This window comes from Homo sapiens, chromosome 16 (genome assembly GCF_000001405.40).
Source record: "Homo sapiens chromosome 16, GRCh38.p14 Primary Assembly".
NCBI classification, from domain to species: Eukaryota; Metazoa; Chordata; class Mammalia; order Primates; family Hominidae; genus Homo; species Homo sapiens.
In genome coordinates, this window is record NC_000016.10 from 78,778,899 (window position 1) to 78,792,705 (window position 13,807).

The 13,807-nt window shown below is 42.8% G+C and overlaps 1 protein-coding gene across 2 annotated transcripts in view; it reads left to right on the forward strand.

The window, feature by feature from the left end:
• Positions 1–13,807, forward strand: part of WWOX (WW domain containing oxidoreductase) — a 1,113,014-nt gene that overhangs the window by 679,245 nt on the left and 419,962 nt on the right. The gene's annotated exons all lie outside the window — the stretch shown is intronic.

The window sequence follows — 13,807 nt, forward strand, 5'->3', positions numbered from 1 at the left end:
GTGGTGCTGGATAGGGATAGGATGTCGCCCCTTGTTCACCCCTTGGCAATAATCTGTTTGATTCACTCCAAATGCTGCTTCTGATCTCCATCTATTTCAGGGGATGACCAGTCTGAATAAAACCAATGAGCTTAATCTACTTGTGGAATGTTATAGCCGGAAGGGATTCATAGAGATCACTCTATCGCCTAAAATTCTCTCTTCTACATATCTCAGTGTTGGAAAACATAAATGTGACTCCAACTTGTCTTTTTTGTTGTTTGTTTTTGAGACAGGGTCTTTGTTTCCCAGGCTGGAGTGCAGTGGCATGATCTTGGCTCAGTACAACATCTGCCTCCCTGGCTCAAGGGATCCTCCCATCTCAGCCTCCTGAGTAGCTGGGACTACAGGTGCATGCCACCACACCTGGCTAACTTTTATTTATTTTTAGTAGAGAGGCAGTTTTGCTGTGTTGCCCAGACTGGTCTTGAACTCTTGAGCTCAAGAAATCCTTCCACCTCAGCTTGACATTACAGGTAAGAGCCACCGTGTCCGGCCCCCCTTTCTTCTTTTTTAAAGTGGGGTATTAAGGCTCAGAAAAGAGTGTTTCTGCCACTGCAGAGGATTGCTGACATTATTAGTTGCTCACTCTGTCCAAGGCATTGTGCTCAGCTCTTTGTACAGATTGTTTAACCCTCACAAGTCTATGAATAGAGTATATTACCCACTTCATTTTAAGTAGGAAATTGAAGCTCAGGGAATCGTAGCAGAGGGCCCCAGTTCACACTGCTGATCAGTGATGCGACTGGGATCACCACAGCCCATCTGGTTCAGAAGCTTGTTCTCCTAACCAGGATGTGAGAGACATTCTTGTCCTAGGCAGCACGTTGGTGGCAGAGGTGGGATCTAGACTGAGGCTCTCATTCTGTACCCTCTCTGGCCCCAAGGAAGGAAAGGGGAAGGAGAAGGGCCTTTGGGACTGGGTGGATGTAACACTTTCTGCCACCTCTACTCTTCCTGCTATAGATTAAAACAGAAGCTCTGAATTGCAGCCACAAATCAATAATGAAAAGCTACCAGACCAAGCCCTTTCTTGTTTAGTGTTGTGTCTTCTGTGTCAACATCTCTGGAACATAGTCAATGGCAGTACCCAGTAGAAGCCATATGGATACTTTTTCTCAAGTGTTGAAATAAATTAATGGTGTGGCCATGGTTCTCGTACTTCAGGTCCCTGTGAGCCCCTGGGGTCCTACACAACTTGGGGTAATGCTATGGTCACCTGCATCCCCTCCTCTCCAGCCCTCACCTGGTTTTCTCTTCTCCTTCCAAGAAAAAACACCCATACCATTCTTAACATCTCTGGAAGCTGGGGGTCAGGAGAGGGAGATCCATAAAGTTCTTGTCTTCCCCGACTCAAGAAGCTTAAGGGTACATTCACTCACTCATGAATTGACTGGTTTATTCATTCACTGGTTGATTAATTCATTCATTCACTGGTTAATTAATTAATTCATGTCATCCTTTGGATGTCTTGCAGAGCTGAGTGCTGAAATAAAATGATAAACAAGTCAAAAACAAAAAGGCCTCTGACTTAACAGGACTTCCGTGATGCGGGGGAAGAAGACAATAGGCAAGTAAGCAAGTAAATATACAAGATAAATAGAAACTGTGATGAGGGAGTTAAAGAAATTAAACTGGTCCTTGTGGAAGCAACTTCGGGGGAGGAGGAAAGACAGGGAAGACCATTTTAAGGAGGTGATGTTTGAACTTAAGAATCAAAAACAGTGCAAGCGCTGCATGGGGGAGAACAGTCTAGGCAAGGTGAACGGAAGTGCAGGGTCCCTGAGGCAGAAAGGAGCTCAGCCTCTTTGTTAGCTAGAACAAGAAAGGGGCCCGTATGGCTAGCATAGGATGGGATAGGGGATCGTGGTGGATACCAGCTAGGATTTCACTGTAAAAGAAGAAAGGAAGCCACTGAAGGGCATTAAGCAGGGCAGTGATGTTTTTTAAAGATCTGTCTGGCTGCCTTGGGGAGCATGGGTTCAGAGAGCAGCAGCAGAAGTGTGCAGGATGACTTGGACTGTCACCTTGGGGCCAGCCTGCAGACTGGTGTGGCCGAAGGAGTGCCGTGACTCCTCTGCCACCTCTCCACATTTGGAAGATTGTTTTGCAGCTGCAACCTCAAAACAGAAGCCTCCTAATTACCAGGTAGCTTTCTAGAGCCAAACAAATGCTGTTGTTTCTGACAGGTAAATCAAGACAGGGAAATGATGACACATTCACCACAACTGAAGTGTTGATGGGGTGTGTTGTGACCCCTGGCTTGTTCCAAAGCCTATGTGGGTGGGAATTCTTTAATGTCTGCCTGGAACTGGGCACTCAGCTATAAATAGAGCTATTTTGGAAATTCTGCACCTCAATTTCTAAAAAGTTGGAAGGACAGGAAAGGGGAGCTGTGTTTGAGATCTCAGAAATCTGCACCCCACCTTGCTATCCACCACTGGTATTCCGTCAGTCTTACTACCCCCTCCCACCTCTAGCCCACCCTCTACCATCCTCACCAGGAAGGAGGCTGCATTCATTTCAAGAACTGCTTTTCTTTTATCAGCTGGCATTACTAGGTATAGACATTATGACCCTTTAATGGGCGATGGGTTAATACCTGTTGCTTTTGTGTGCTTCCTATTTAAAACATGTTTATCTATCCCCCACCCCCACTTTATCCAAAAGTTATTCAGTGTTTTACAAAGACATGAATATTGGGCCGGGCTTGGTGGCTCATGCCTCTAATCCTACCTGAAGCAAGAGAATCGCCTGAACTTGGGAGGTAGAGGATGCAGTGAGCTGAGATGGCACCCCTGCACTCCAGTCTGGGCAACAGAGCGAGGCTCCATCTCAAATAAAATTAGTCAGTCAAAGACATGAATATTTTCTTCTAAGTAGAAGTAATGATGACGATGATGGTAGCAGTTATGAGCAGGTAACATGCATTGAACACTTATTTGCTCCATGCAATGTTCACAGGTCTTTACATGTAAAAACAACCCTGTAAAATAAATAACATTATTCTCTTCATTCTCCAAGTAAGCTGAGGCAGAGGATTCCAGCACAAGCAATTTGGTTCCAAAACCTGCCCTTTTAACCTCTACCAGATTTTGGTGAACTCTCTGTCTTTGGAAGGGTAGGTGGCGGCTGCGGGGAGAAATAGATGAAGCTGTTACATTTGGCAGCAAATGTAAATCACCACCTTCACTGGCTTTAATTTCCCCCTCCAGCCTTCTCGCCTTGCCATCACCTTCACCCTGTCCTTCCTCTTCAGGCCACCTATCCCTTCCGATTGACCCCACTGGACTTCTCTGCTCCTGGCTTCTGTCTTCCCTCTAGTGACCGCTGTCTTTACCTTCAGCTGCACGAGCTTTTTCAAGAACCTTCTTGCTCCCTCTCCATCCTCTCTGTTTTCCTACTTTTCTTTGGCCACTGTTTTTGCCACAGCTTCTAGGATTTCTCTTTCCCACAATCTAGGAGAAAGGTAGAGCTCTCTTATGCTGGGGCAACGCTACCAACATTGGTATTCCACAGCATTCCAACGATTCTAAATACTCTCCCAGAGTAGGGAGGAAAAATCATCCAAACTACTTGGTAATTGAATTCAAGAGTGATGGACCAAAAATTATTAATGCATTCCCTTCCGTCCACCAGCCAAAGAGGATTCCATCTTTATTCTCCTCCCAAATGCAGGCTCCATTAACCTTTTACCTTTCTTTCTTTCCGGTCTTTCTTTTCTATATCTTTTTTTTTTTTTTTTTGCATTTTTCCAATTGTGATCATACTATATATGCAATTTGAGGTATTTCAGACAACATTATTACATCATTACAGAAGTCTCATATGCTGTATTTTATAAATATGTGATGCAATCAATCATTGATAAGATGTACTGTTATTTTATGTTTCACTAAGAGTGCGAAGAACATTGTTAATTATACAATGATCCAAAAATGTCTTCTCTCTCAGAATGTATTGTTTTATATCTATTACAAAGGCTCTTTTGACTTAGGCATAGATTTCTCATACATCAGGCCATTTCTATGCCTGCCTGTGAACACAGGGATTTTGAATTACAATACTGAATCCTAGTGTGATCTTTCTGAAGTCATTTTAATTATCACTTAAACTCAATATGGAAAGCATCAGCAATGCACCTATATGCACAAAAATGAGCAGCTATGATCAAGTTATCAGGAAAAACCAAAACAAAACAAAAGCACATCTCCATCATTTATAATGGCCCATCATTTATAATGGCTGCCTGATAATTGGAGATACATGCACCAGACTTGACTTAACTGTTCTCTTAGTCATCAGACATTTAGATTTCAACAGGCTCCTGTTAAGCTCTCCTTACAGTGTGTGTGGCACTGTGCAGTTGAATGAAACATGCCATGGCCAGTGGAGACAGGCTTGGGCTGATGGAGAGGGCCTACAGGGCCAGGCCTTGAAGGGGAGGGAAATTGTTAGCTACACGACCAAGAGACAGAAGAGAGGAAGGAGTTTGTACCCACAACTCAGCTTTATTTTATGTAAGCTCTTTCTGCAAAGGGAAAGTAGCTCTTTGTACCAAAGCAAGGGCCTCTGAATGAGAGCTGGGAGAGGCCAGAATGGGCCTGTAAGAGGTTGATGTGTATGAGACCTGAAGCCCTATGCCTTTGGGAAGGAGAGGAAGGAGTAATATTTGTGTGGTACAAAGGATGTGCCTGGCATACCCCATATCTTTTACAAAGACATAAATGTCTTCTGAATAAAAGTATGATGATGATGATCATGGTGATGAAGATGAGGGTGATGATGTTGATGTTGATGATGATGGTGATGGTGATGATGGTAGTATGATAATGCTGATGGTGGTGATGGTGATAGGAGGGTGATGGTGATGATGATGGTGATAAGATGCTGATGGTGGTGATGATGATGGTGATATGACGCTGATGATGGTGATGACGATGATAATGGTGATGATGGTGATGACGATGGTGATGATGATGTCGATAATGATGGTGATGCTGGTGCTGTTGGTGATGGTGATGCTGGTGATGATGATAATGATAGTGGTGATAATGTTGGTGATGGTGGGATGATGTTGATGTTGATGATAATGATGATGATAGTGATGATGATATCAACAGATACCATGTACTGAGCACTTACTTTGTACCATGCAATGCTTATGGTTTTTTAAATGCATTTACACCAAATTCTTATAACAACCCTATAAGTCAGTGCCATTGCTTTTCCCATGTAACGTGCACATCATTCAATCACTCAACCCTTGTCATAGGTAGATACTATTATCCTCCTTTTATAGATGAGGAAACCTTGGCTTAGAAGGGATAAGCTCAAGTTCACAGGCAGAAAAGAGACAGCCAGTCAAGCCCTGACTCCTTTTGTGACCCTGATGAGATTACAGGTCCTCAGTCTCCTCATTGTATCTGAAGACTAAAGAATCAGAAATCTGTGACTCCACTTAGTTTTTCTCCACCCAGGAGCCCTTAGGCCGCTGGTGAGTGAAGTTCTTACCCATTAGGGATTATTAATATACTAGATAAGAGTACAGTCTCTGGAGCTAGGCTTGTGACTTTGAACAAATTATTTTATCTCTCTGAGCTCAGTCTCCTCATCTACAAAGGGGGAATTGATAATAGGAATTGTCGCAAAGAGCTGTTTTAAAGATTAAATGAGATAATAGATATAAAGCACTTAGAAGAGAGTTTGGCATTTGCTAGGCTCACAGTCAGTGTCAGTGGTTCCCAATGTTACTGTTTTAGCTGCCCCCAGTCAGGTGGTTGATGAGTTGGGGAGCCTGGTGGGCAGTCTGGAAGAGAGCACAGTGACTGCAAGGTCAGCTCCTGACCTTCATAATAAGGACTCACATGTGTCGGTCCCAAGGATCCCCAAGGGATACTCATGGTTGAAGGTGTCTATGTGTTCTCCTTGGTGTCCAGCGAATGCCTCTTGACAATCTGTGGTCATACTCACAACCTATGACCACATACGAGGAAGCGAGGTGTCCCTTTTGCAGTTGTTCAGAAGGTCCCGTGGGCAGGAGCAGCCAGAGGAACATGAAACCAGCTCGTAGGTGGTACTTGTGGCAACAGCAGTTATAGCCAAGGAGAAGTTAAATTCTAAAGACTTGGGCAGTCTCCAGGGAATATACTAACTGAGAAATAACATCCATAAAAATAATTCAATACTAGTATGTAAAACTAAAAACAATAACCAAGTGTGACTGGCTGTCTAAGAATTAAGCAAAGTAAGATGAAGTGTCTTTTGCTAGCAGGCGCTCTCAGCAAAGGAGATAAGGCTGCAGTAATTCTCTTCCCACCTTCGATGGGCAGGTGCAACCTTTGGCTGCAGAAATTCTCACTTCCCAGCAGCAGCTTTGAGCACCCTGCTCTGAATGTTTCTTGGGCAGCAGCAGCTAGGGAAGAAACTCAGTTAAGGCTGTTTGAGGACCCAAGGTGGTCTCACTCTGCAACACACATCGGCAGCCAGTGGTGTGCTGGTAAATGATTAACAACTGGCTCTCTGAAAAACAAACAAACACATTGTGCACCTATACATGTACACACACAGCTTATTATTTATTATTTCTCTGAAATATGGGTAGCATATAATTTACAAATAAGAAGAAGAATAGTATACACAGTACTGTTTCTTATAAATTCGAGATAGTCAGTTTTTACCAAATGCTTCTGATTTTTGCTGCGCTATTATATCCATTACAAAACCATTGTTGCAGTATAAAATTGCAGTATGTAGCTGTGACATGAATATTGGTTGATATTTTCATTTTTATTAAGAAGTAAGGCAAAAACAAAATAAGACATATGTCAGAACTTCACTTATCCTTCTTTGCTGAATTGGATAATGGTTTTAAAATACCAAAAAATATTTCTTCAATTTTTTTCTGCTACTCATAATGTAGCATCTGTAGAGCGACACACTTTTGAATTTGAGTTAATATTTCTTTTTTATTTTATTTTATTTTTTGAGATGGAGTCTCATTCTGTCGCCCAGGCTGGAGTGCAGTGGCGCGATCTCTGCTCACCGCAACCTCCGCCTCCTGGGTTCAAGCGATTCTCATGGCTTAGCCTCCTGAGTAGCTGGGAATACAGGCACCCACCACCACGCCTGGCTAATTGTTTTTGAATTTTTAGTAGAGGCGAGATTTTCCCGTGTTGGCCAGGCTGGTTTTGAACTCCTGCCCTCCGGTGATCTGCCTGTCTCCGCCTCCCAAAGTGCTGGGATTACAGGCGTGAGCCACCGCGCCTGGCCTGAATTAATATTTTCTACCCCACTTTCTTAAGTCGAGACAATCAATAAAGCAATAAATGACACCTGGATTTGTAGCGAATGTCTATTTCCATGGTGTAAATAGTGGTACCCTGAGCAATTTTAAGTTATAAATATGAGATCACTGAAAGTGGAGTTGGGGAACACGTTATTATATAGTATTTTCACCACACACAGGATACAGTCAATGACTTCAAGAGCATAGGTAACAGTAAAATGTAGTAAAACAATTTAGAAGTCATGAGTTTTGAGTACTTAGTACTTTTTAGTATGATTTATTTAATAGTAACCTTATATAATGTTTTTCTTTTAATTGTTTTATTGAGATGTATTTCATACACTTTCCAATAAGCCCATTTGAAGTGTAACATTCAACTTTTTTTAGTATATTCGCATGGTTATGTAATTTTCATCAAAATCTAATTTTAGAGTATCTTTTTGTCCCCGTAAAAGTAACTCTGTGCCCATAGTTGGCAGTTTGTCATATCACTCAATCACTGTTTCCTTTAAAGAGCTTATCATTAAAGACAGCAGGCAGTTACACAACATCTTCTACATGCCAAGAATGTTTCTAATACATGCTTTATGGATTTTTAAATTGTGGTAAGATTTACATAATGTAAAATTTACCACTTTGGGGCTGGGCGTGGTGACTCACGCCTGTAATCCCAACACTTTGGGAGGCTGAGGTGGGTGGATCACTTGGGGTGAAGAGTTAGAGATGAGCCTGGGCAACATGATGAAACCCTGTCTCTACTAAAAATACACAAATTAGCCAGGTGTGGTGCTGGGTGCCTGTAATCCCAGGTATTCAGGAGGCTGAGGCAGGAGAATCGCTTGAACCTGGGAGGCGGAGGTTGCAGTGAGCCAAGATTGCACCACTGGACTCCAGCCTGGGCGACAGAGTGAGACTGTGTCTCAAAAACAAAAATAAAACAAACAAAACAAAAAAAGTTCACCACTTTGACCATTTTAAAGTGTAAAATTCAGTGACTTTTAATACGTTCACAATATCGTGCCACAATCAGCAGCCATTTCAGAACATTTTTACCATCCCCCGCTAAAGAAACACCATATCCATTAAGTGGTCATTCCCCATTTCCTCCTTCCCCCAGCCCCTCATAACCACATCTACTTTGTGTCTCTATAGATTTGACTATTCTGGATATCTCATATAAATGGAATCACACAATATGTGGCCTTTTGTGTCTGGCTTCTTGCTTTTAGCATGCTTTCAAGGTTCATCCATGTTGTAGAATGTATCAGTACTTCATTCTTTTTATGGTTGAGTGATATTCTGTTACATGGATATACCACTTTTTGTTTATCCATTTGCCAGTGGGTGGTCATTGTGTTTCTACTTGTTGGCTGTTACGAATTATGCTGCTATGATCATACATGTACTGTTTTTATGTTTTCTGCAAACTCCTGTTTTCCATTCTTGGGCATATTTTGGGGAGTGGCATTGCTGGGTAATATGGCAATTTTATATTTAACTTTCAGAGGAGCCACCAAATTGTTTTCCACGGAGGCTGCACCATTTTATATTTCCACTTGCAGTATATGAAGGTTCCAATTTCTCCACATCCTTGCCAACACTTTATTTTCTGTTTTCTTTGAAGGTATGAAATTGTATCGTGGTTTTGATTTGCATTTCCCTCATGATTAATGATGTTGAGTATTTTTATGTGGTTATTGGTTATTTGTATCTTTTTTAAAATAGAAATGTTGATTCAAGTCCTTTGCCCAGTTTTTAACTGGGTCATCTGGCTTTTGTTGTTGAGTTGTAAAAGTTGTTTATATATTTTGGATACTAGACCCTTATCGTATAAATCCTTTGCAAACATTTTCTCTCAATCTATGGGTAGGCTTTTTTACTCTTTTTATAGTGTCTTTTGATGAACAAAGATTTTAAATCTTGATGAAGTCCCCTTTATCTATTTTGGATGTTGTTGCTTCTGTTTTTGGTGTTGTATCTAAGAATCCATTGCCAAATCCAAGGACATAAACATTTACTCCTGTGGTGTTATGATATATATAGGGTTCCTGGCTCATAACTCTCATAGCCCTTGTTGCAGTCTATTGTTACAATATTGCCTGTGTTAGGCATCAGGAAACAGAATCTCTTTGTCTCCTGTCCTTCTTTCACCTGCCCCAAGGCAGGACTCTAATCTTCCCCACCTTTTTGATTGTGAGTCTTCAGACCCTCCCCAGAGAGTCAGTCCTGCCTTATGCCCTGGGGAAAGGAATGCTGACCTCATGAAGCTCCCATAAAAACCCAAGAGGGCTGGGTTTGGGAGCTTCCAGATAGCTGAAGACAAGGAGGTTCCTGGAGCGTGGCTGCCTAGGAAGGGCTGGAAAGCTCCATGCCCCTACCCCATACCTCGCCCTATGTGTCTTTTCATCTCTGTCCTTAGTACTGTCCTTTATAATAAAGCAGTAAGGGGTAGCAAGTGTTTTCCTGAGTTCTGTCATCTGCTCCAGCAAATTAATCAAACCCAAAGAGGGGGTTATGGGAACTTCCACCTGAAGCCCCTCAGCCAGACATTCTGAAGTCTCTGACTTGCTATTGGTGTCTGGGGGTATGGGGGGCAGTCTTGGGGACTGAGCCTCCAACCTCCAACTAACTCCACGTAGACAGTGTCAGGATTGAATTGGAGGACTCCCAGCTGCTGTCCCCTGCTTAGTATGTGGGGAAAGTTGAGTTGTAAAAGTTGTTTATATATTTTGGAAACTAGACCCTTATCATATAAATGATTTGCAAACATTTTCTCTCATTCTGTGGGTAGTCTTTTTATTCTTTTGATATCATCTCGTGATGCACAAAAGTTTTAACAACAAAAGTTTGGGTGTTGTATCTAAGAATCCATTGTCAAATCCAAGGTCATGAACGTTTACCTCTGTGGTGTCACCCCTCCTCTCGCATTTGGTGAGAGGAGTCTTCTGTGTTGATTGTCATGGTGGTGTGAGAGCAGAAGGGAAACATGGTTTCAGAAAAGAGTTTTTCCCTGAAACCACCCCTCTATTTTCTTCTCAGACTTTTATAGTTTTAGCACTTATGTTAAGACTTTTGATCCATTTTACGTCAATTTTTCTATATAGTTTAAGGTAGGCATTCAACTTTGTTCTTTTGAATGTGAATATCCATTTGTCCCAGAAGCATTGATTAAAAAAGATAATTCTTTCTCTATTAAATGGTCTTTGCACCCTTATCAGAGATCAATTGGCCATAAATGTAAGTATTTCTTTCTGGACTCTGAATTATATCCCATTGATCTGTATGCCTGTCCTTATGCCATTGCCACATTGTTTTGGTTACTGTACTCTGTGTAAGTTTTGAAATTTGGAATTGTGAATTCTCCAACTTTGTTCTTCATTTTCAAGATTGTTTTGGGTATTCTGGGTCCCTTGTATTTCCATTTGAATTTTAAGATCAATATAATTTAAATTTTAATCATGGCAGTGTTCAATAACTGGCTTGCATATTTTTTGAACAGTCATCAGCTCTTGTGAGCCACGGTTGGCCAGCTCCCAAACACCATGACATACAACTTGCAGGAAAAGCTCATTTTCCAGTTTTTCCCCCTCCAGCTGTAGGGGATATATTTTCGTTAATTCCTGTGACCATATGGCAGCATGGTTAGGATCTTGGGCTTCCAAATCAGACAGTTGTAAACTTAAACTCCAATTCTGCCACTTATTGTGTCACTTTGGACAAGTTACTTCACCTCTCCAAGCCTCAGTTTCCCTGACTATAAAATGCTAACAATAGTTGTTCTTTCCTTATTGGACACTCAAGAGGATTAAATATTATTCATGTAAGGCTCTTAGTATAACACCTTGCACATAGGAAGCATTTAATACCTAAAATCGAGTACTGTTATTGTTTCAGGATTATTATTTTTTTTAAATTTATTTTATTTTTTTGGGACAGGGTCTTGCTCTGTTGCCCGGGCTGGAGTGCAGTGGTGCGATCTCAGCTCACTGCAACCTGCTTCCTGGGTTCAGGTGATTGTCCTGCCTCAGCCTCCCTAGTAGCTGGGATTACAGGCGCACGCCAGCACGCCTGACTGATTTCTGTATTTTCAGTAGAGATGGGGTTTCATCATGTTGGCCAGGCTGCTCTCAAACTCCTGACATCAAGTGATTTGCCCGCCCCAGCCTCCCAAAGTGCTGGGATTACAGGTGTGAGCCACCGTGCCCAGCTCAGCATTATTATTTTTAGTCTACACACAGTGAACTTAAATCTCCTCTAGAAAAGTCAGAAGGTCTACCTACAACTTTAAGAGTTCAGCCAAAAGAGACCAGTATCTACTACCGTGGACAACCCTATTTAACATGGAGGAGATAAGCAGAAACTGAAAAGAGGAGCCTGTTTTCTCTCTGGCAGATTAATTTTCTTTCTTTCTTCACCCATGCCTTGGACATGAAACACAAGTACAAAGGTTCAGAGAAAATCAAAACAAGACTGTGGTTTACAAATAAGTAGTACTAGTAACATCTCACTGTTGGCTGGGCACAGTGACTCATGCCTGTAACCCTAGCACTTTGGGAGGCAGAAGTGGGAGGATCACTTAAGCCTAGGGTTGAAGACCAGCCTGGGCAACATGGTGAAACCTCATTTCTACAAAAAATACAAAAATTAGCCGGGCGTTTTGGTGCTTGCTTGTGGTCCCAGCTACTCAGGAGGCTGAGGTGGGAGGATCACCTGAGCCCAGGAGATGGAGGTTGCAGTGAGCCAAGATTACACCATTGCACTCCACCCTGGGTGACAGATCCAGACCCTGTCTCAAAAAAAAAAAAAAAAAAAAAAAGTGAAAAAAAGGAAAATCTTCGTTGTTCTTCATCAGAAGCCTCCACACAGGGCCCCTGAAGGAAGGGCAGGGAAGAAGGGGGTTGGAGGTCAGTGGGAGGAATAACTCTGTGACTCAGTGCTTTCCTGACTACCATCTGGATGTGGGCTGTATCTGCGTAAGGTGCCGGGACAGGGCGGCCTCATGAACTCATGGGAAGCAAACACACACCCTCCCTCCGATCCACCAGGCACTCGGGTTTCCTGTGTGTCTGGTGATGTGCTGGGTGTTGTGGATCTGGACTCAACGGCAGTCTCAGGTTTATGTATTAGGAAGCATTCAGCAGGCAGGAGCAGCCGATCTGAGACTGGCATGGGCAGTGGAGACATCATTCATCTCCTGAAACGTAATTTGGAGGAGACTGTTCCAGGGCTGGCTGAGTGACTCCTTGATGTCAGCACTTTGCCCTGTCGTGGTCTTGGCCTTTCTCTTGTGTTCCCCAGATGGGTTTCACTGCTCTAAGGATCATACCTTCGCAGGCCATCTGAAGTTAGTGAATCTGAGGCAAACAGAAGGGCTGGGTGCGGTGGCTCATACCTGTAATCCCAGCACTTTGGGATAATGAGATGGGTGGATCACCTGAGGTCAGAAGTTCGAGACCAGCCTGGCCAACATGATGAAACCCCGTCTCTACTAAAAATGCAAAAAATTAGCTGGGATTTGGTGGCGCCTGCCTATAATTGCAGCTACTTGGAAGGCTGAGGCGGGAGAATCACTTGAACCGGAGAGGCAGAGGTTGCAGTGAGCCGAGATCGCGCCACTGCACTGCAGCCTGGGCGACAGTGAAACTTTTGTCTCAAAAACAACAACAACAACAACAACAAACAAACAAGAAACAAAAAATACATAGAAGAGGCCTTCTCTTCACAAGTTTTTCTTATTGTTTTTTGTTTTTTTAAGGGAGGAAATTTCTTTCAGAAGTCAGTACTGGACATTCCCTTATTTCACCTTGAGCTACACATCCCATAGTCAGCTTAGCCCTGTCCCTGGTGCGGGGGAGCAGGACGGTTGCCTGTATCCCTTAGTCATTGCCGCAGGCTTGCTGCATCACAAACCACCATTAGACCTCAGTGGCCCGCAGCAATAAACATTCGATTCTCGCCATCTCTGGGTTTGAGGTGACCTTGGCTAAGCTCCCCTGCATTGCTCTGCTCATCTTTCTCACGAGTCTGGCAATGGGGCTGGGAATGGGCTGATCTAGGCTGGACTTGGCTGGAGTAACCCAGCCCCACCTTGGATCTCTCTCCTCTACTTCCCACATGTATCCTTTTCATGGTTAAAGGTAGAAACAGAAAAAAACAGGCAGAAACATAAAAAGCTCGGAGATGGCTTCCTATTGCTTCTTCATTCTGGGCCAGAGCAAATCATATGGTCGTACTCCAGGGTGAGGAAGTATGTCCCACTTACAGACTGAAAAGGTGCTGCAAGTCTGCACGGCAGAGGGCATGGATAAGGGGTTCGTAAAAACTTAGGGCCATTTAATACAAATTTGTCACATCACACTGGCTTGGATTGATTTTGATTCATTGCTCTGTCGCCCAAACAGAATTATAATTATTTTAGTAAGGAAAGAGGAAGGATACCTTTGGGGCAGACAATGGATAGAGCTTACTATACAAGTCTAT